The 20,989-nt window shown below is 42.6% G+C and overlaps 1 protein-coding gene across 17 annotated transcripts in view, besides 7 other annotated features; it reads right to left on the bottom strand.

Annotated features, from left to right (window-relative positions):
- The window catches only part of RBPJ (recombination signal binding protein for immunoglobulin kappa J region), a 329,683-nt gene that overhangs the window by 110,572 nt on the left and 198,122 nt on the right, over nt 1-20,989 (bottom strand). For 3 of the 17 annotated variants that reach the window (NM_001379407.1, NM_005349.4, NM_001379408.1), the window contains exons 1-2: nt 4,672-4,814; nt 3,745-3,860 (exon numbers count right to left, since the gene is read on the bottom strand). The exons of 2 other annotated variants lie outside the window; for them this stretch is intronic. Coding sequence is in view for 6 of the 15 variants with exons in the window: in NM_005349.4 (NP_005340.2) it covers nt 3,745-3,803 (59 nt within the window). In the remaining 9 variants the exon portion in view is untranslated. Of the gene's footprint in view, nt 1-1,609; nt 2,395-2,688; nt 3,333-3,511; nt 3,547-3,744; nt 3,861-4,671; nt 4,815-20,989 lie in introns of those variants that run through there. 12 more of the 17 variants (NM_001379406.1, NM_203283.5, NM_001379409.1 and 9 more) reach the window with 7 other exon arrangements.
- Nucleotides 2,169-3,090: an enhancer, noted in NCBI's record as "NANOG-H3K27ac hESC enhancer chr4:26323092-26324013 (GRCh37/hg19 assembly coordinates)". NCBI's record gives its function as "activates a minimal SCP1, AML or CMV promoter by ChIP-STARR-seq in primed H9 embryonic stem cells {active_cell/tissue: H9 hESC(primed)}" and the evidence as "EXISTENCE:reporter gene assay evidence [ECO:0000049][PMID:30033119]".
- Nucleotides 3,203-3,302: a silencer, noted in NCBI's record as "silent region_15337". NCBI's record gives its function as "represses an Ori minimal core promoter by ATAC-STARR-seq in GM12878 lymphoblastoid cells {active_cell/tissue: GM12878}" and the evidence as "EXISTENCE:reporter gene assay evidence [ECO:0000049][PMID:35858748]".
- Nucleotides 3,373-3,502: a silencer, noted in NCBI's record as "silent region_15336". NCBI's record gives its function as "represses an Ori minimal core promoter by ATAC-STARR-seq in GM12878 lymphoblastoid cells {active_cell/tissue: GM12878}" and the evidence as "EXISTENCE:reporter gene assay evidence [ECO:0000049][PMID:35858748]".
- Nucleotides 4,323-4,372: an enhancer, noted in NCBI's record as "active region_21396". NCBI's record gives its function as "activates an Ori minimal core promoter by ATAC-STARR-seq in GM12878 lymphoblastoid cells {active_cell/tissue: GM12878}" and the evidence as "EXISTENCE:reporter gene assay evidence [ECO:0000049][PMID:35858748]".
- Nucleotides 4,973-5,242: a silencer, noted in NCBI's record as "silent region_15335". NCBI's record gives its function as "represses an Ori minimal core promoter by ATAC-STARR-seq in GM12878 lymphoblastoid cells {active_cell/tissue: GM12878}" and the evidence as "EXISTENCE:reporter gene assay evidence [ECO:0000049][PMID:35858748]".
- Nucleotides 5,463-5,512: an enhancer, noted in NCBI's record as "active region_21395". NCBI's record gives its function as "activates an Ori minimal core promoter by ATAC-STARR-seq in GM12878 lymphoblastoid cells {active_cell/tissue: GM12878}" and the evidence as "EXISTENCE:reporter gene assay evidence [ECO:0000049][PMID:35858748]".
- Nucleotides 11,917-12,106: an enhancer, noted in NCBI's record as "active region_21394". NCBI's record gives its function as "activates an Ori minimal core promoter by ATAC-STARR-seq in GM12878 lymphoblastoid cells {active_cell/tissue: GM12878}" and the evidence as "EXISTENCE:reporter gene assay evidence [ECO:0000049][PMID:35858748]".

The following is a 20,989-nucleotide window of genomic DNA, read 5'->3' as shown; positions in this document are numbered from 1 at the left end:
GACCCTGTCTCAAAAAATAAAATAAAATAAATAAATAGAATATTGCTACATGCAGAAAACAAAAGAGGAAAGGCATCCCATAATTTTATAATGTTATTACATTTGAGTTTGACAGAACTTCAATCTCTTACACCACACACACACACACACACACACACTCACACACGACACATCACCCTGTAATTTGTTTTATTTGTCCCTTTCCCTATAAGTTTATGGGGGGCAGGAATAAAGGTATCTGTTTTATTACCCATATTATAATACATATTTGGGATTTTAAAAAATCCCACTATCGCTACTGTGTCTTGCCAAGAACTTAAAAACCTCCTATTTGACTTCCTATAAAATATGACCTACTTCACATTAGCTTATTTCAGTAACAATTCCTAGACCTTCCCCACAGTTTTCATCCAAGGATGCTCTCTGCGAATCTTAAGGCACAGCAATCCTGTGCAGATGTGGCAAGTTATTATAATTCCCATTTTACTACATAGTTAGGAAACTGGCCCAGGGGAAGTAGAGTAACTTGGAAATAATCACAAAGCCAGATGCCAAAAATAACAACTTTTAGTCAATCCATGAGAAAATACTGCCCCTAGTTGAGATAACATGAAATTTAGTATTAGGAGGAAGCAAAATGCAAAATAATGCTTTAAAGCCAAGTCCTGGGTCTTATTTCTAAAAATGAACAGAAGAATGAGATGTATAATAACTTTCAAACGAAACAATTTTTTCCTAATGCCTTACCCATCAAGGGTGCCAAAGGTTATTTAATGAATTACATCTGGCAAGAATGGCCTGTCAACCAAACCAATTTTGATCTTACCCACTTAAAAAAAACATTGATAGAAATCTGTTGGTATAGGACAACAGATAACTTTTTAACAAACCTAACTGCTTAAAATCTAATGCCTACAAGTGTGTATTAGTACAGATTTGAAAATATTGCAAGTCTCCTGTTTTCTGAAAATATACTCACAGATCCATCAGCAATATGCATGGATAATAAAATTTAAAGCTTTAACAGTTAATACTCAGAATGAAAGTTCTCCAGCCACAACGCATCCAGATTTCGAAATATGCTGCTGTTATAATTTAATTAAAAGCAGTTTTATTTCACCAATCATGTAAGTAAAAGTATTACACGATTTAGAAAGAAAAACGCAACTCAAATGGTAAAAGCGCTTTTATCATGTCTGTGTAATCATTCTTACAGGTACAAGTCAGAGCAAAATACCTTCCATTACTACACAGTATTTACACTTTGCTCCCAGTCAGAGAACCAGTGAGCTCAAGATTTTACCTTCAAAACAATGATTATGTACAAGAACAAGTAAGGGAGACATAAGATTATTGGTAAAACCCACTCAAGCGACCCAGACTGCAGATTTTCACAAAAAAACTTATGTATCAATCATGAAAACATGGTTTTCCATTAATTAAAACTCAAACTACTAATTCTAATCACAGCCAGAAAAAAAAGTATTTTCCAATGCTCCAATACTCGTTAGAGTAGATCTCGTATGTCCCCTATCAACAACACTTCACTATTGTAGAACTTCAGTTTGTAAATGAAATGACACTCCAAATGATTTTATGGGTAACATACCTTCTAAAAGTAGAGATCAACCAGTAGAAAAAAAACAAACTCTTGAAGAATACCTTCAGCATAGTAATCCTGGTAAATATAATAACTCTTATTCCTAGCACCCAGAATAACTCAAGTCATTAGAATACATCACACCACACCCCCCACCCCCATTCACACAACCCCAAGCTTTTAGCATTACCAAAACAATAAGAACTCGAAACACTTCAAGGGTTCTTTAACACTAGGAAGTGTCTTTAAAATAATCTCACTACAGGCTATTACGTGTGTGTGTGTATATATATATATAATATACATATTATACGTATACTTTTTAACTGCATTTGATTAATATCTTCCACAAAGATCTTAGAAGCAGTATTCATCGACCAGAAACTGCACTCTTCGGTGCTGTCCTCATTTCAACCCCAATGATGGGACAGAAGGGTTGTCACGCATCTACAGGGCAGCAAAAAGCACATAACTGTAAACTATCTAATGATTAAGAAAAAATAAAACATTTATATAAAATTCCCAAGCGGAATGCCTCTCCTTTTCCTTATGAGGCAGAAGTTACTGATAAATTCTAAATCCAGATTTCTAGAAAATGCTGAAATTCTCCGCCCCAACACTCACAAGTTTTTAACATGGAAATTCACTCAACTCCTACTCACACGCCAAATGAATATCCATTGTGGCTATCTGAAACTATTCTCAAACACTAACAGAAAAACACATATATACATCTTGAGCCTCCTTCTAACCGTCCTACGATACCCTCCAATCATCCTCAGGCAGCCTAGATTGCAAAGCTTCGACAGACAGCTGCCCTTGGCCTACGCCGTCAGGAACCAGGAGGGGGGCGGGGGCCGGGGGGCGCAAGAACCACCAAGAGACCAGATCTTTTTCCAAGGCTACTGTTTCCAAGCAAAACAACCCACGGCACTAAAAAGACGGCGATGAAAATTGGAGACGCTTTAATCCCGAGAGAAAGGGGTGGCGATAGGGGGGCGGGAGGGTACAAGAAATCCCGAGAAAAAGAGGTGCGGAGGAGAAAACTAAGTATCCCATGCATCTTTCAGACCCACAAAACAACAAACCGTAGAGTCTTGTGTGCACTTAGAAGCAGCAGATGGAGTCCCCGGGGCTGAGACAGTTCAGCAGACGTACACCGTGGGTTGTGGATAAATCAACCGATGACGGGAGAGGAAGGGGGTGCCGAGAGAATAAGCCCGTGGATGGGGGAGACAAAGCCTCGGGGGGTGATCCAGGACCATACAGAAAGGTGAGAGGGGACCCACAGGAGAAAGACAATGGAAGAACAATTAAGGCAGAAATCTGGTGCCCGGGCTGTGGCAGGTCACTGGGCTAACGACAAGAGTGTGGCACAACAAAGGGGCACGGGAGGAAGGACAGCGGAGGGGAGGAGATGGAGAGGGGATGCGGGACGCCACGGGTCGGACAAAGCGCCCAAGGCGGCGAAACAAAGGGCCGGGGGTAGAGAGTCGCAGCGGGTAGCGGTGAAAGACAAAGCGCCCGGGGCCGGGGGCACTAGCGGGGCGAAGCGGCGACAACGGCCGCGAGGAACAAAGATGCACGGGGCCCCCAGGCAGAGCCCGCTGGAGGCGCGCGGGAGGCACGGCGCCCGAGGGCCCCGCGCGCCCTGCCGCACTCACGCCCGCACCCGCCGGCCTCGCCGCCGCCGCCGCCGCCCGCCCTCACGCGCTGGAGCCTGAGCCACGGCAGCGCAGAGCGGCAGCGCACGGCCACACGCCGCCGCCGCCGCGCTCGGCGCACGCGACGCCGCCCCCGCGGGCCCCCGAACGCCAAGCGCGCCGCGGCCCCCGAACCCGCTGCCCGCCGTGAGCTGCCAGACGCCCGCAACTTTCCCGGTTCCCGGCGCTCCGATTCCCTCAGACTTACCCTGTCACAACAGGCGCCATCTTCCACAAACTCTCGCCAAAACTCCAACCCTCGCGAGATTCCCCCCGACGCCTTCCCTGGTCCCTCTCCCCCGCCCCTTCCCTTTTTCCTCACTCCTCGATTCCACCCAGCCCCCGCGCTCCCTTTCCCCTCGCCGCCGCCGCGAAGAGCCAGACGCCTCGCGCCGCCCGCAGAGTAGGGGATCCTGCTCGCTGCCTTCCCTGGAAACCTACCCAGGCGATGGAGCATGCGCAGGCGGCTCCTCCGCGGGCGAGCCCTCCGTGTGGTCCATGGGGAGCGCTCCGGTTATCCGGGTTTTAGGACGCGCTTTGAGGGACGTACGTGGAGACTGAGGAAAACCGGAGGGGATTACTACGGGGACGAGGAATGGAGGGGTCAGGAGGCGGGGCCGAGGAGAAGGGAGGAGGGGTCCTGGGAAAATGGGCTGCGTTTCACAGGCCTAGATGAAACACCTCCTCAATGGGTGTTTTCCAAGCGGCTTCCCGCTCACTCTGGGTTCCCAGCTATTTTCATTCATTCAAACGTTCCCTGGGCGCCTCCTTTATGCTAATCTCGGCGTTTGGTGCAGGAGCGCCAGAGATGTCTGGGGTTCGGGCAAGTGACACGTCGGGGACTGTCTTCATTCATTACACCCCCCCATGCTAATGAGGAGGCCCTTCCAGAGCTCCTCAAGCGGAAAACTTTTGCAGTTGAGCTCTCTCGCCTTAGCGTTCTCCTTGGGTGTGAAATGAGGTCAAGCCAAGGCCTCTAGCAAAGACACCCCTAATGGCCACCTCGCAGACACACGCCAGAGCGCGGAGTAGTTCTCTCCAGAAGGGAAAACTGCCTTGGAATTGAGAGCCACATTCTCCCACCTCCGAGTCTGCCCAGAGGACCCGATCAAAGCTCTTGCCGCTCGCGTGCTGCATGGCCTCTCTAAGACCCCATCGCAGCCACCACCGTGTGTGAGCCCAGGTGTGTGTTGAGACCACTACTGCACAGGGAACCGGGCCACCCGAGGGCCTGGCACAGCCGAGGACGCTGCCGGCTGCCCGAATCGCGCTTCAGGCGGCCTGATCCCGGAAGCCCCCGGGCAAACCTGGCCCCACCGGGCATGGAACAGCAGGGTGAAGGGCCCGAATCCCGCCCCCTCCTCCTACCTGCAGCCCCCCATCTTTCCCCTCCTTTGCTCTTTCCTTTCCTAGAGATTCCCAGATCCAGCACTGCCTCCCGCAGGGAGCCCCAAAACCCGGAGAACTGGAATTCGCCGCCCGAAACCTGTTGAAGGCGCTGCAGGATTGGCGCGGCCCGCGCGAGCGGCACTGCGCATGTACCCAATGCGGGCAGTCCAGTCTCACGCTACACCTCCTTCCCACCGCCTTCCACTACTCGGCTCAGACACAACACGGCCGTGGGAAATTTCCTAAACCTCGCGAGAACGTGCCCCTGTTGCCTAAGCTTTCGCCCCAAATCTCGCGGAGCCAAGGCAGGACAGGTGTTTGCCTAGACCAGCTCCGGGCGCCGTTCGTGCAGCGCGTGCCCGGGAGGCGGGCGGCGGGCGGCGGGCGCGGGCGGGGTGGGAAGGGAGCGGCTTGCCGCGGAGGCGGGGCGGGAAGGCGCGTGGCTGGGAGCACGGGGCGGAGGGCGGCGGGGGAGGAGACCCGCGTCTCGCACACAACACGCACACGCCCTGTGACGCTGGATGGAAGACGAGGGGTGGGGAGCCTCGAACGGAGGAAGGGGAAGCCAGGAGGTTGGAAGTCGCTGCCGGTACGGAGAGTGAGAGGTCAGGCTCTAGGGCAGGAGGAGCCCCAGGCCGATCTCCCGGGGAGGTTTCCTGTCGCCCTCCACAAGCCTGGTACTTTCCTAAAACGTGTTAGACACCGCGCCCCCCGCCTCCGGGAGCTGACAGACAGCCTCCAGAGTCGGGTTTGAGTCATGCCTTGAGTCACCTAGTCTGGCCACTACTTCGCTTACTTTGAAACAAGTTCTGATTCCTTAGCTACTCTACTTTAGCAATTGGTTTCTTTTTTTTTTTTTTTTTTTTTTTTTGAGACGGAGTCTTGCTCTGTCGCCTAGGCTAGAGTGCAGTGGCGCGATCTCGGCTCACTGCAAGCTCCGCCTCCTGGATTCACGCCATTCTCCTGCCGCAGCCTCCTGAGTAGCTGGAACTACAGGCGCCCGCCACCACGCCCGGCTAATTTTTTCTATTTTTTAGTAGACGGAGTTTTACCATGTTAGTCAGGATGGTCTCGATCTCCTGACCTCGTGATCCGCCCGCCTCGGCCTCCCAAAGTGCTGGGATTACACGTGTGAGCCACCGCGCCTGGCAGCAATTGGTTGTTTTCTTTCTAATCTACCCGCTGGCCCTGTGAGCTGGGTAGAAAAATAAATAAATAAATAAATAAACAGCTCTGCGCTCTCGCCTTGTTGCCTTGTATAGATTCTTGCTCCCGTTTAAGGACACGATTTTTAAAATTTCTTGTCAGTCTCTTCTTAGCCTTTTGAAGTAATCTTACAAATCAGTTTCTGTTTTTTCCTCCCACTAATATGGCTTTTTTGCTTTCCGTCACCTTTCCGTATTTTTATTGCAATATTCCATTTTACGTATGGCTGCGGCAGGTGCTATAGTGACTACTGTTTTAAATGCAGCCCTTCCTTTTGGATCATTCATCCAATGAGTTCCTGATTACGTAAATTCTTCAATCAGCCACGTTTCAGATTGGCCCTGATGTGGTTTCTATACCAGCCTTAGCCTGGCATTATCTAGGAACCAGTGTCTTCCTGCTCACGTCACAGCCCCGCAAATGTAGAGTTGAATTGAATTTTGATATTTGGAGGACAGTGAGTTCTCTAATAGGAAACCCTGGTTTTTAAGTTGTTTTCAAGGTTTTAGGGGTGTGTGTGTGTGTGTGTGTGCGTGTGTGTGTGTTTGTGTTTGCCTATTGATTATATACACAAAAAAACAGACTTAAAACCATTTGGTGCAATATCTCAGTGCAAGTCTGGCTTGGAACAGGATAGCTCAGGAGGAGGACAAAGCCCTTGGGGCACATATTCCTTGGAGCTGTCATCCCAAGAAGGTATTTCAGTCATGGCCTAGTCCAGACCACTGATCTAATTTGGAATCATGGCCTTCTGAGAGCCCCAGCGACCTTGGGAAGCCATGGTAACCACAAAGGGAATAACAGCTCCCCCTTTTTGCCCTAAAACATGCTCCATCTGCAGCCCTCCCCCATCTCAGGAAAGGACAACTCCATTCTTCCACTTATGTCAAGAACCTTGGAGTCCTTGCCTCCTTTCTCACACCCAAGATACAATTGGACGGAAAATCCTATTGGCTCCACCTTCAGAATATACTCACATTCCAAATACTGTCACACCTCTTTAGCTACTAGCCTAGTCTAACCCATCTTATTTCCCACCTGGTTTAAGGAAGTTCCCTAACTGGTCCTCCCTTCTTCCGTTCTTGTCTTCCCGCAGTCTGTGCTAATAGAGCATTCTCAGTGGCCCTCTAGAACTCCTCCATGACTTTCCCATTTCACTATGAGGACTTAGACAATCTTGCCTACTGCCAAACCCCCCCTGATCTATCTGCCTTCACCTCCTCCTCTACCTCTCACTCTGTGGGCTCTCACCAGTTGCCTTCCTTACTGTTCCTGGGATGCCCCAAGCACACTTTCAGCTCCAAGCCTTTGCTTTTTCCACTACCTGGAATGCTCTTCCCTCATATACCTTATAGCTCATTCCCTCACTCCTTTCTTGTCTTTGCCTGATGTCACCTCCTCAGGGAGGCCTTCCCTGACACCCTTCCCAAGAGGGACTCCCATACTCCTTATCCCCCTTTCTGCTTGATTTTGTCCATGGCACCTATCATTAACTAACATAACATTTATCATACTTGTGTGTTGTGTTTACTATCTGCCTCCTTCCATTATAATGTAATATTAATAAGGGCAAGGACTTTTGTCTAGTTTGTTCATTATTCAAGCCTTAGCTGCTGGAACAATGCCTGCTGTATTATATTTGTAGAATGAATGGGGTGTCTTCCACTTTAGGGCAGAGTAAAAATGATTCTGAAGACTAAGCCTCCTAGGGTTCAAAACAATATTAGGACTAGACTAGCAGTGAGTACTAGCCTGCCTAGGGAGGAGAAAAAGGCATATGGAGCAACCACCTGTGTTGGTTTTTTGCAAAAAAAAAAAAAAAAAAAAAAAAAAAGTCGTCTGGGTTAGACCAGTAGATGAGGCTGCACTTAAGAGTTTCCTTTACTCTCCATTTTAGAACTTCAGGAAAAAAACAACAAAAACACCACTAGCCGGATATGTGTGTGTGTGTATATATATATATACACAATATGTGTATATATATATATGTGTATATATATATATATCAATATGTGTATATATATATCAATATGTGTATATATATATCAATATGTGTATATATATATTATATATATGAATGTATATATATGAATGTGTATATATATGAATATATACATGAATATATATATGAATATATATATGAATATATATGAATATATATGAATATATATATGAATATGTATATATGAATGTATATATGAATGTATATATGAATGTATATGAATGTATATATGAATGTATATATGAATGTATATATATGAATGTATATATGAATGTATATATATGAATGTATATATGAATGTATATATGAATATGTATATATGAATGTATATATATGAATATGTATATATGAATGTATATATGTGTATATGTATATATGAATGTGTATATATATGAATATATATATATATATATGTTGCGGGAAGTCAGGGACCCTGAACGGAGAGACTGGTTGGAGCCACTGCAGAGGAAGATAAATTGTGAAGATTTCATGGACATTTATCACTTCCCTAATAATACTCTTATAATTTCTTATGCCTGTCTTACTTTAATCTCTTAATCCTGTTATCTTCATAAGCTGAGGATGTACGTCACCTCAGGACCACTGTTGTACAAATTGATTGTAAAACGTGTGTTTGAACAATATGAAATCAGTGCACCTTGAAAAAGAACGGAATAACAACGATTTTAGGGAACAAGGGAAGACAACCATAAGGTCTGACTGCCTGCGGGGTGGGGCAAAAAAAGCCATATTTTTCTTCTTGCAGAGAGCCTATAAATGGACTTGCAAGTAGGAGAGATATTACTAAATTTTTTTCCTAGCAAGGAATATTGATAATCAATACTCTGGGAAAAGAATTGCATTCCTGGGGGGAGGTCTATAAACGGCTGCTCTGGGAGTGTCTGTCTTATGTGGTTGAAATAAGGACTCAAATATGCCCTGGTCCCCTGCAGTACCCTCAGGCTTATTAGGGTGGGGAAAAAATCCTGCCCTGGTAAATTTGAGGTCAGACCAGTTCTCTGCTCTCGAACCCTGTTTTCTGTTGTTTAAGATGTTTATCAAGAGAATACGTGCACAGCTGAACATAAACCCTCATCAGTAATTCTAATTTTGCCCTCTGCCTTGTGATCTTTGCTTTTGTCCTTGCCCTGTTTCCTCAGAAGCATGTGATCTTTGTTCTCCTTTTTGCCGTTTGAAGTATGTGATCTTTGTGAACTACTCCCTGTTCGTACACCCCCTCCCTTTTTGAAATCCTTAATAAAAACTTGCTGGTTTTGCAGCTCAGGTGGACATCACAGACCTACCAATATGTGATGTCACCCCCGGCGGCCCAGTTGTAAAATTCCTCTCTTTGTACTCTTTCTCTTTATTTCTCAGACCAGCCAACACTTAGGGAAAATAGAAAGAACTTACATTGAAATTTCATTACATTGAAATTGGGGGTGGGTTCCCCAGTATATACATACATATATATATATATATATATATATATTTTTTTTTTTTTTTTTTTTTTTTGAGACAGAGACTAGCTCTGTCACCCAGGCTGGTGTGCAGTGGCACGATCTCCGTGCTCTGCAACCTCCCCCTCCTGGGTTCAAGCAGTTCTCCTGCCTCAGCCTCCTGAGTAGCTGGGATTACAAGTGCCCACTACCACACCCGGCTAATTTTTGTATTTTTAGTGGAGACGGGGTTTCACCATGTTGGCCAGGATGTTCTCAAACTCTTGATCTCATGGTCTGCCCACCTCAGCCTCCCAAAATGTTGAGATTACAGGCGTGAGCCACCGCACCTGGCATAGATATCTTCATGAGCTGCTAGTGGGAGTGAAAATGGATATAACATCTATGGAAACTATATTAGTCTGTTCTTGCACTGCTATAAAGAAATACCTAAGACTGGGTAATAAAGAAAAGAGGTTTCATTGGCTCACGGTTCCGCAGACTGTACAGGAAGCATGACAGCATCTGCTTCTGGGGAGGCTTCAGGGAGCTTTTACTCATGGCAGACAGCAAAGCAGGAGCAGGCGACTTAGATGGGAGCAGCAGGACCAAGGCGGGGAAGGGAGGTGCCACATACTTTTAAATGACCGGATCTCACAAGAACTCACTCACTATCACAAGAACAGCACCAAGAAGAAAATCCACCCCCATGATCCAGTCACCTCCCACCAGGCCCCACCTCCAACACTGGGAGTTACAATTTGACCTAAGATTTGGGCGGAGACACAGATCCAAAGCATATCAGAAACCATTTGGCAAAATTTGTCACTACCTGTTCATCCTACAATTCCATTTCTAGAAGTTTATCCTATGAATATGCCCACACATGTAAAATTACCTATATTTTGCAGCATCACTGATGGTGGAAAAAAAAATACTGGTAACAAACATCAAGAGATGTCTTTTTTTTTAAATTATACATAGAATGAAAGAGTATATTTATTAATAAGCAGAGGCTGCTTTTTATGTACTTTTGCGGAAAGATCACAAAGTTTAAAAAACTGCAAAACAGTGATATATATATACTTATTTGCGTATATGTGTCTAAAATGTCTCTGGAAGGACACACTAGAAATTGTAAGAATGACTGCTTTCTTATAAAGGACTCTACAGCTGGATGATATAGGTGAGAGAGTGGCTTTCCTCACAGTCTATCTTGGATCCTTTGAATTTTGTACTATGTATATATATTTCCTATAAATATAAAACATAGAAAGGAGGGAAAAGAAAGAAATGGAATAAATGTGCAAGAAGACAAAAATTTACCAAATAAAATTGTTTCCTTCTACTTTAGTAGAATTATTTTTATTTATTTATTTTTTTGGGGACAAAGTTTCGCTCTTGATGCCCAGGCTGGAGTGCATTGGTGCAATCTTGTCTCACCACAACCTCTGCCTCCCAAGTTCAAGCAATTCTTCTACCTCAACCTCCCGAGTAGCTGGGATTACAGGTACATGCCACCATGCCCTGCTAATTTTTTTTTTTTTTTAAGAGACGGAGTTTTACTCTGTCACCCAGGCTGGAATGCAGTGGCATGATCTTGGCTCACTGCAAGTTCCGTCTCCTGGGTTCACGCCATTCTTCTGCCTCAGCCTCCTGAGTAGCTGGGACTACAGGCGCCCGCCACCACACCCAGCTAACTTTTTCTATTTTTTTTGGTAGAGACGGGGTTTCACTGTGTTAACCAGAATGGTCTCGATCTCCTGACCTCGTGATCCGCCTGCCTCAGTCTCCCAAAGTGCTGGGATTACAGGTGTGAGCCACCACACCTGGCCTTTTCTTTGTATTTTTAGTAGAGATGGCGTTTCTCCCTTTTGGTCAGGTTGATCTCAAACTCCCAACCTCAGGTGATCCGCCCACCTCGGCCTCCCAAAGTGCTAGGAGTACAGGCATGAGCCACTGCACCAGGCATAGAATTATTTTCTAATAGAAGTTATGGTTCCGGCTTGGTGGCTCATGCTTGTAATTCCAGCACTTTGGGAGGCTAAGACAGGCAGATCACTTGAGCCCAGGAGTTCAAGACCAGCCTGGACAATATAGTGAGACTCTGTCTCAACAAAAAATACAAAAATTAGCTGGGCATGGTGGCATATGCCTGTAATCCCAGCTACTCAGGAGGCTGAGGTGGGAGGATCACTTGAGACCCTGAAGTTGAGGCTGCAATGAGCTGTGATTGCACCACTGCACTCCAGCCTGGGCGAGACAGAGAGAGAACCTGTCATCTGTCATACACACAGAGAAAAAGTTACGTATGTGACCTATCATCTTAGTAGAATTAAAACAGCAGAACTGCCTCGTGGTTCATTCAAACAGCATGTTTAGATTACCTACCACTGCAGGTCAGGCATCATCTTGATATTTTACAAAAATAGACAGCACAAAGAACCCAGCCTCTAAGGACTCCCTGTCTAAAAGAATACACAGACCAGTTGCAGTGGAATTCTATGATAGGAAAGAGATAAAAGAGTTTAACAGCTTGGGGGTACAATGAAGGAAGACCTAACTCTTGCCTCATGGGCCCAGTCCTTGCAGAGATGACTTGGTAGCTGACTTACTGCAGTGGGAGTTCAGAAGACAAGAATAGGAGGAAGCATGACAAGCACAGGAAACAGCACGTTCAGGCTCTGAGGTGTGAAAGAGCATCTGCTATTCAGGGGAACTCCAGGTGGGGGGTTGATGTACATAGAATAGGGAAAGGCATTCTAAGCAGGGTCATAAGAAGGCCCTGGTGGCCGGGCATGGTGGCTCACACCTGTAATCCCAGCACTTTGGGAGGCCGAGGCAGGCGGATCACGAGGTCAGGAGATCGAGACCATCTTGGCTAACACAGTGAAACCCCGTTTCTACTAAAAATACAAAAAATTAGCCAGGCGTGGTGGCGGGTGCCTGCAGTCCCAGCTACTCAGGAGGCTGAGGCAGGAGAATGGCGTGAACCTGGGAGGCAGAGCTTGCAGTGAGCTGAGATCGTGCCACTGCACTCCAGCCTGGGTGACAGAGCGAGACTCTGTCTCAAAAAAAAATAAAATAAAATAAAATAAGAAGGCCCTGGTAGAGCTGTGGTCCTCAGAACTTAGTGGGCATCAAAATCAATTAAGGGCCTGAGTTCCACTCCCTAAGACGCTAAATGAGTAAATTTGGACTGAAGCATTTATAGCAGGTATTTATAACAGGGTGCTCAGAGATTCTGATGCAAATTGTCCATGAACTGAGCTTTAAGATTTTTTTTTTTTAAGACAGGATCTTGCTCTGTTGCTCAGGCTGGAGTGTGGTAGTGCAATCAAAGTTCATTGCAGCTTTGAACTCCTGGGCTCAAGAGATCCTCTCACCTTGGCCTCCCAAAATGCTAGTATTATAGGTGTGAGTCACTGCATGCAGGGAGAATCATTCTTTGATATAGAACTTGAGTATAACCTTTCTCTGGGACTTTCTCACTAAAGGGAGTAATGGCACATAGTTTCTTTTTTAAAAATCAATAAATGAAATATTTAAATAGTAAAAGGGATGAGTTTGGGAGTTCCTAGGTGTGTATCCAAAGGCATGTGAAGCAGCTAGTGGCTCATGAGAGGCGGACATTACAGTTTGCTGTGGTGGTTTAAACACAGTGACACTTTTTTTTTTTTTTGAGACCGAGTCTCTCTCTCTCACCCAGGCTGGGGTGCAGTGTCTCAATCTCGGCTCACTGCAACCTCCACCTCCTGGGTTCAAGCAATTCACCTGCCTCAGCCTCCCAAGTAGCTGGGATTACAGGTGCCTGCCACCATGCCTGGCTAATTTTTTTGTATTTTTAGTAGAGATAGGAATTGATCATGTTAGCCAGGCTGGTTTCCAACTCCTCACCTCAAGTGATCCTCCCACCTCGACCTCCCAAAGTGCTAGGATTACAGGCGTGAGCCACCGCGCCTGGCCCCACAGTGATGCATTTCAACATTGCTAGCTGTGTGATCTTAGACAAGTTTTTTAACTTGTCAGTGCCTCAGTTTCTTCACCTATAAAATGGAGATTGTAGCTTCTAATTCATAGGATCGTCAGAATTCAAAGTATTACTGTTTCAAGTACATAGAACAGTGCTATAACACAATTGTTATAGTAATATTAGTTTTTATCATTACTCAACAAGTCCATAACTTGCATTCATCTCATCAAAATTCTTGCAAAGCATGTCAAAATGGCTGTACTTCAAAAATCAACATCGGTTGGGCACAGTGGCTCATGCCTGTAATCCCAGCACTTGGGGACGCTGAGGCGGGCGGATCACGTGAGGTCAGGAGTTCAAGACAAGCCTGGCCAACATGGGGAAACCCTGTCTCTACTAAAAATATAAAAATTAGCCGGGTGCGTTGGCAGGCGCCTGTAATCCCAGCTACTCGGGAGGCTGAGGCAGGAGACTCACTTGAGCCCGGGAGGCGGAGGTTGCAGTGAGCCAAGATCGTGCCATTGCGCTCCAGCCTGGGTGACAGAGCAAGACTCTCTGTCTCAAAAAAAAAAAAAAAAAAAAGTTAAAACAGGCAAATACAGTCATAATTTTATCTTGATTGGTGTTAATTCATTTTTTTCTCATATCCCCACTCAGAAATGACAATATTATTTTTGTTATTTAATTTCCAAGAGGATCAGATGTACAAAATGTTTGGGAAACCCACTGTAGATAGCTGATAGGAGCTTCTGAGAATACAAAGCAAGGTTTCTTGTTATCAGATTGTGCAGGGGCTCTGGGCCTAAGACAGCCCTGCTGATAGCCCATGTTAGAAACTAGGAGCCGCTCACTCTACAAATGTTTAACTCATGTTTTTTTTGTTCATCTTTATGGTTCTCTTATATTCATAACATTATCCCTGTCATTTTCTACCACGTGTTCATCAAGGTTAATAAAATGTATAGGAAATTGAAAGAGTGCCAAGAAGGATTCCATCAGACTCTGCAATTCCATATAGAAAATAAGCTCGAACTCCAGGATTAAAAGAAATAGAACACTGAAAATGAATCACAGCTTCAGGAGAACTTGAGAAACAAAAATAAATATTCACCGTTTTCTGTCCAATTGTGTTTAATTTTTCACAGGATTTTTTGGCCCTGGCAATTTGAGTTTTTTGCAGGCCTGGGTTAAGTTTTGCTTAGCTTGTTAATATGTGCAGCAGTTCAAGAAGGTAAAGCAAGAAAATGAATGGGCCATTTACTCTAGTGATGTGGAACGTGAATGGAATCAAATGCACATTTGGTGAAAAGAATGTGTACAAATCTAATAATTTGTCAGAAGTTTTTGTAGCTAATGTAATTGGAGGAAAATGTTTCCATGTGTGATTGATAGATTTGTTCTTTTTATAACATGAACAAGTTAAAGCCAGTTAACACTACCTACACAAGAAATGACAACACCATATGAATAATAAAATTCCAGTTATCTATTTATAAGGGAATATACTTAAATTTTTATTTCCTAAACTTTGCCCGTTTGTCATGCATCATATATTGCAGTGGTTTTGGGTTCTGTAATAAGCCAATGTTAAACATCCATAGTTTTAAAAAAGCAGCTGTGGTATGAATGAAAGAACACTGAACTAGCTTCACCACTAGTACTTCTACCACAAACCAAATGCCCAACTTTGAGCAAGTTTATTTTTCCTCACCTGCAAAAGGGGAATATGAAACCTATTGCATAGGGTTGCTTTGATAATTAATTGAGGTATTACATAAAATAACTGGGTACATAGTAGGCACTCAATAAATTTCTTAGGAAATTATTTTACCCATACCCATGTTCAGTTTTGTTATCTGTTAGATGGACTAATAATACTGCCTTAGAGATTTGTTGCATGAATCAAATTAGATAATCGCAGGACACGGTGGCACAGGACACGGTGGCTCAGGCCTATAATCCCAGCTCTTTGGGAGGCCAAGGCAGGAGTATCGCTTATGCCCAGGAGTTTGAGACTAGCCTGGGCAACATAGGACAACCCCATATCTACAAAAAACACAAAAATTAGCCGGGAGTAGTGGCATGTGCCTGTAGTCCCAGCTACTCGAGAGGCTAAGCCCAGGAGGCCAAGGCTGCAAGTGAGCCATGATCGTGCCACTGCACTCCAGCCTGGGTGACAGCACAAGACTCTGTCTCAAAAAAAAAAAAAAAAAATTAGATAATTATGTGGATAATAAATTGAAAGAATCCTAAATAAAATAATGGTATTTAATTTTGGTTGGCATATTTGTTTTTAAAATTTTGACTGTGGTTACACAGGAAATCAATAGAACAGAAAAAAAGATCCCTTTATTTTCTTCTCTGGCCTATGTTACTATTAACCTTGAACACAGATGGCCTTTATCACTCTTTCAAAGAAAGCCTACCAGAAAGGTTTCACTCTTTGCATCTGTATTGCTTGGTGTCAGAGATAGTGTAATGATAAGCATCAACTTGTAGGTATAACTTTTGTGGCTAGCACCCTTGTCCAGACCACACTAAGGACTAAGAAGATCCACTTTGGAACCTGTTTATTTAAGCACTGACAAATAGTAGTATATCAAACAATTCACATCTTGTTAAGTACCTAGCTTTGTGAAAGACAGCTGACTAATAATCCCTTTGAACATCAAAAGCAAAGTTGTACATTGTCTCTTTCAATAGTTGCTGCTGTAATTAGGTTAACAATTTTTATTCTAATTAATTTTTTAAAATGTTATTGTCATTATCTCAACATGTGGGAATTTTTAAAAAGCACATTGTGAAATTACTGCAAGAAAAAAGTCTCTTAAGGTAATTTCTAATCATTCTATTAATAAATATTAAGTACATACTTTGTTTTATACAATAGGTCTGTCTGAAAAGTTTTATCTCAATCTAATAATGATGTATTTCATTTGTAAAATGCATTAGAGAAACTCTTTTTTTTTTTTGAGATGGAGTCTTGCTCTGTCACCCAGGCTGGAGGGCAGTGGCCCGATCTCGGCTCACTGCAAGCTCCGCCTCCCGGGCTCACGCCATTCTCCCGCCTCAGCCTCCCGACTAGCTGGGACTACAGGCGCCCGCCACCACGCCCGGCTAATTTTTTGTATTTTTAGTAGAGACGGGGTTTCACCATGTTAGCCAGGATGGTCTCCATCTCCTGACCTCATGATCCGCCTGCCCAGGCCTCCCACACTGCTAGGATTACAGGCGTGAGCCACCGCTCCAGGCCTAGAGAAACTCTATTTAAAGGAATCTTCAAGACTCCATGTTAGATATTATAACTCGTATTATCCTGTGCTTTTGCTACTTAAATTATTATTTTCATGACTAAATTCTGTCATGATTAGCATCCTATGGAAGGATGGTTAATAAATTATATTAAGGTATTGTTAATATTTCACTAATGGATAAAAACATTTCTCAAGATCTTAACTACAAATAATTTTTCATCTAAGTACTTTGGAAAAATTTAGACATTGATGCATGGTTTGTTTTTTTTCTTCCAGCTTTCCAAACATGTGGCCTAAATTTTACCCTCAGAATAACTTTTGACTTCAGTAAGAGTTATAAACTATCGTCTGGGAGAAGCATTTGGCTCCTACTTTTCTCAAGCCTAAAGTTCTCCAGAAATGTTCTTATGAAATGCAAATCTGATTTTCATCAGCAGTTTTACCTACGTAGCATCATATTTTCCTTCACCAGCAAACACTGAGTATTTTATTTTTAAATAGCATAGCTATATCTGTATTTGCATGATACTTTCCAACTTTCCGAAATAAGCAATGAAACACAGAATCTAGGCAAAAGAAAAAAAGATAATTTAAGAACTGAAAAATAACTTCTGAAAAACAGAGCACATACAGAAGTATTTAGTTTTATGCAATAGAGGGTTTTCAAAAGGTTGTATGCCTGTCTAACATGCAACAGCTTTCTAGTTAAAGGGATGCTGTGATGTATAATTTCCACAGTGACGGTAACTATGAGTCTGCACTGTCTCAAGCCCTCTCACAGACATCAATCATCTCAGTCAGTCCTCAGGACAATGCTGACAGTTGGTAATTTTATTCCTGTTTTTACAGATGTGCCTCGGAGGGTATGATTTACACAAGTCATACTCCTAGAAGTGGGATTTACGATTGTTAGTGAGTTCTTTATTTTTTTGGCTATAACAATTTAAATTATTTTTATTATTATAAACTGATAGAGAATATTTTATGTGAAGTACCCAGAGTATCAAATTATAATTTTAATAAACTATTTAAAGTTACAAAAATGATTTACGAAAGTATAAAATGATGAGAAATGCAACAAGATTTATTTTAAAATATATTTTAAATAGTTAATATATTTAATTTTTAAAAAATCCTACAAACAAGTAACAGTGAGTGGCTGAAAATGGGTGACCAAGACAGGGGCTACTGAATTTTAACCCATTTGAATTTTCTGACACATTTATTAATTAAAAAATAATTCTCAGCCGGGCACAGTGACTCATGCCTGTAATCCCAGCACTTTGGGAGGCTGAAGCGGGTGGATCAGGAGGTTAGGAGATTGAGACTATCCTGGCTAACAGGATGAAACCCCGCCTCTACTAAAAATACAAAAAATTGGCCGGGCATGGTGGCGGACACCTGTAGTCCCAGCTACTCGGGAGGCTGAGGCAGGAGAATGGCATGAACCTGGGAGGTGGAGGTTGCAGTGAGCGGAGATCGCGCCATTGCACTCCAGCCTGGGCATCAGAGTGACTTTGTCTCAAATAATAATAATAATAATAATAATAATAATTCTCCAAATAAATGATAAGAAAACTACAGACCAATACCTCTTATAATATTGACACAAAATCCTCAATAAAATACTGGCAAACGCTCGACAAACTAGAAATGGAAGGGAACTTTCTCAACCTGATAAAAGTCATCCATAGGAAACCTGCAGCCAACATCGTAAGAATGAAACAAGAATTTCCACTCTCACCAATTCTATTCAACATGGTATTGAAGGTTCTAGCCAGGACAATTAGGCAAGATAATGAAGTAAAAGACATCAGATTGGAAAGAAGGAAGTAAAAGTGTCTGTATCTTCAGATGACATGATCTTGTATATTGACATGATCTTAGGCATAGAAAATTTTAAGAACTCGCCCAGGTGCGGTGGCTTACATCTGTAATCCCAGCACTTTGGGAGGCTAGGTGGGTGGATCACCTGAGCTCAGGAGTTCGAGACCAGCCTGGCTAAAATGGTGAAACCCCATCTGTACTAAAAATATTAAAAAAAAAATTAGCCAAGGGCAGTGGCACACGCCTGTAGTCCCAGCTACTTGGGAGGCTGAGGCAGGTGAATCACTTGAACCCAGGAGGCGGAGGTTGCAGTGAGCTGAGATCATGCCATTGCACTCCAGCCTGGGTGACAAGAGTGAAACTCAGTCTCAGAAAAAAAAAAAAAAAAAAAAAAAGAAAAGAAAATTCTAAGAACTCCACTAAAAAATTATTATCTGTACCACTAACACATATATTCAGCCAAGTTGGAGAATACAAGATTAATATAAAAAAATTGTATTCTATATATTTTCAAGGAACCATCTGAAAATTAAACTAAGAAAACAATCCCATTTCCAATAGCATGAGTATTAAATATCCAGAGTATCAAATTAAATAAATAAAGTACTTAGGTATAAATTTTTAAAAAGAAGTGCAAGCTTTATGCTCTGAAATCTACAAAACATTGTTGAAAGAAATGTTAAAGGATCTAAATAAATGGAAAAACATCCCATGTTTATGGATCAAAAGGTATTATTATTAAGATGGCAACACTCACCAAATTATTCCACAGATTCAATGCAATCACTATCAAAATCCCAGTTGGCCACTTTGTAGAAACTGACAAGGACAGCCACAATTTTATGGAACCCACAATAGCCAAACAATCTTGAAAAAGAAGAACAGAGTTGGAGGACTGATATTTCCGCATTTCAAACTTTCTACAGAGCTACAGTAATCAAGACTGTGTGGTGCTGGATAAGGACAGACTTACAGATCAAATGAATAGAACTAAGAGTCCAGAAATAAGCCCTCACATTTAGGTCATTTGATTTTTGACTAGTGTCAAAAGAATTCAGTGGGAAAAGGAACAGTCTTTGCAACAAATGATGCTGGGAAAACTGAATATCTACATGCAAAAGAATGACATTGGGCCTGTAATTCACAACATATTAAAAAATTACCTTAGATCATAGCCCTAAATCTAAAAACCAAAGCTATAAAACTCATAGAAGACAGTATAGGGGTAAATCTTCATAATCTTGGATTAGCAATGATTTCTTAGATATGACACAAAAACCCAAGCAACAAATTAAAAAAATAGATAAATTGGACTTCATCAAAATTTAAAACTTTTGTGCTTCAAAGGACACTATCAAGAAAGTAAAAAAAAAAAAAATACAGAATGGGAGAAAATATTTGTAGATCAAATATATGTGAAATGGGTCTAGTATCGAGAATATATAAAGAATTCTTAAAACTGAATAATAAAAAGACAAATCGTTCAATTAAAAATGGGCAAAAGATCTGAATACATATTTCTCCAAAGATGTGCAAATGACCATTGATCACATGAAAAAATATTCAGTATCATTAGCCATCATGGAAAAAGCAAATCAAAACCACAATGAGATACCATTTCTCACCTGCTAGTGTGGCAATAAGCCAAAAGACAGATAATGACAAATGTTGACAAGGTTGTGGAAAATTGAAACCCTCATACATTGATGGTGAGAATGTAAAATGATGTAACCATTTTAAAAAGCAACCTAACAGTTCTTCAAAGGGTAACGATAGAGTTACTCTATGACCCAACAATTCTACTCTTAGGTGTAAACTTAAGAGAACCGAAAACACGTCCATACAGAAACATAAATGTTCATGGCACCATTATTCATGGAAGCCCCAAAGTGGAAGCAATGCAAATGTCCATCAACTGATGAAGATATAAAATGTGATATATCTAGAAAATAGAATACTATTAGTTTATAAAAAGACATAAAGTATGAAACACACTACAACATGGATGGACCTTGAAAACGTGCTAAATGAAAGCAGCAAATCATGAAAGATCTTGTGGGATTCTAGAATGTCCAGAAAAGGCAAATCTATAGAGACAGCAGATTAATGGCTGTCTAGGGCCCGGCAGTGTGTATGTGGGGATAACTGTGAAAGGATATAGGACTTCATTTGGAGTGATAAAAGTCTTCAAAGTTGATTGTGTTGGTGGCTGCACAACTCTGAATATACTATAAACCACTGAATTTGCACTTTAGGTGAGTGAATTATATGGTATGTGAAGTGCATCTCAATGAAACTGTTAAGCAAAGACAGGAGAGAGAGCAGAAAAAATTAATTTAACTTTATTCAATTACATGCTTTGCTTTTTATATAGTATTTAAAAAAATAGAGACACGGGTCTCAGTATGTTGCCCAGGCTGGTCTCCAACTCCTGGGCTCAAGCAATCCTCCCGCCTTGGCCTCCCAAAGTGCTGGAATTACAGGTATGAGCCACCACGCCCAGCCTAGATGCTTTAAAAATCAAATTAGTATGATTATAAACTTCATATTAATAAGTCATATACTTCTATAAATGTTCAAGTGGGGGCAACTAAAT

This window comes from Homo sapiens, chromosome 4 (assembly GCF_000001405.40).
Source record: "Homo sapiens chromosome 4, GRCh38.p14 Primary Assembly".
Taxonomy (NCBI): Eukaryota; Metazoa; Chordata; class Mammalia; order Primates; family Hominidae; genus Homo; species Homo sapiens.
The sequence above is the reverse complement of the archived record's forward strand: the minus strand, read 5'-3'. Positions and strand labels throughout refer to the sequence as shown.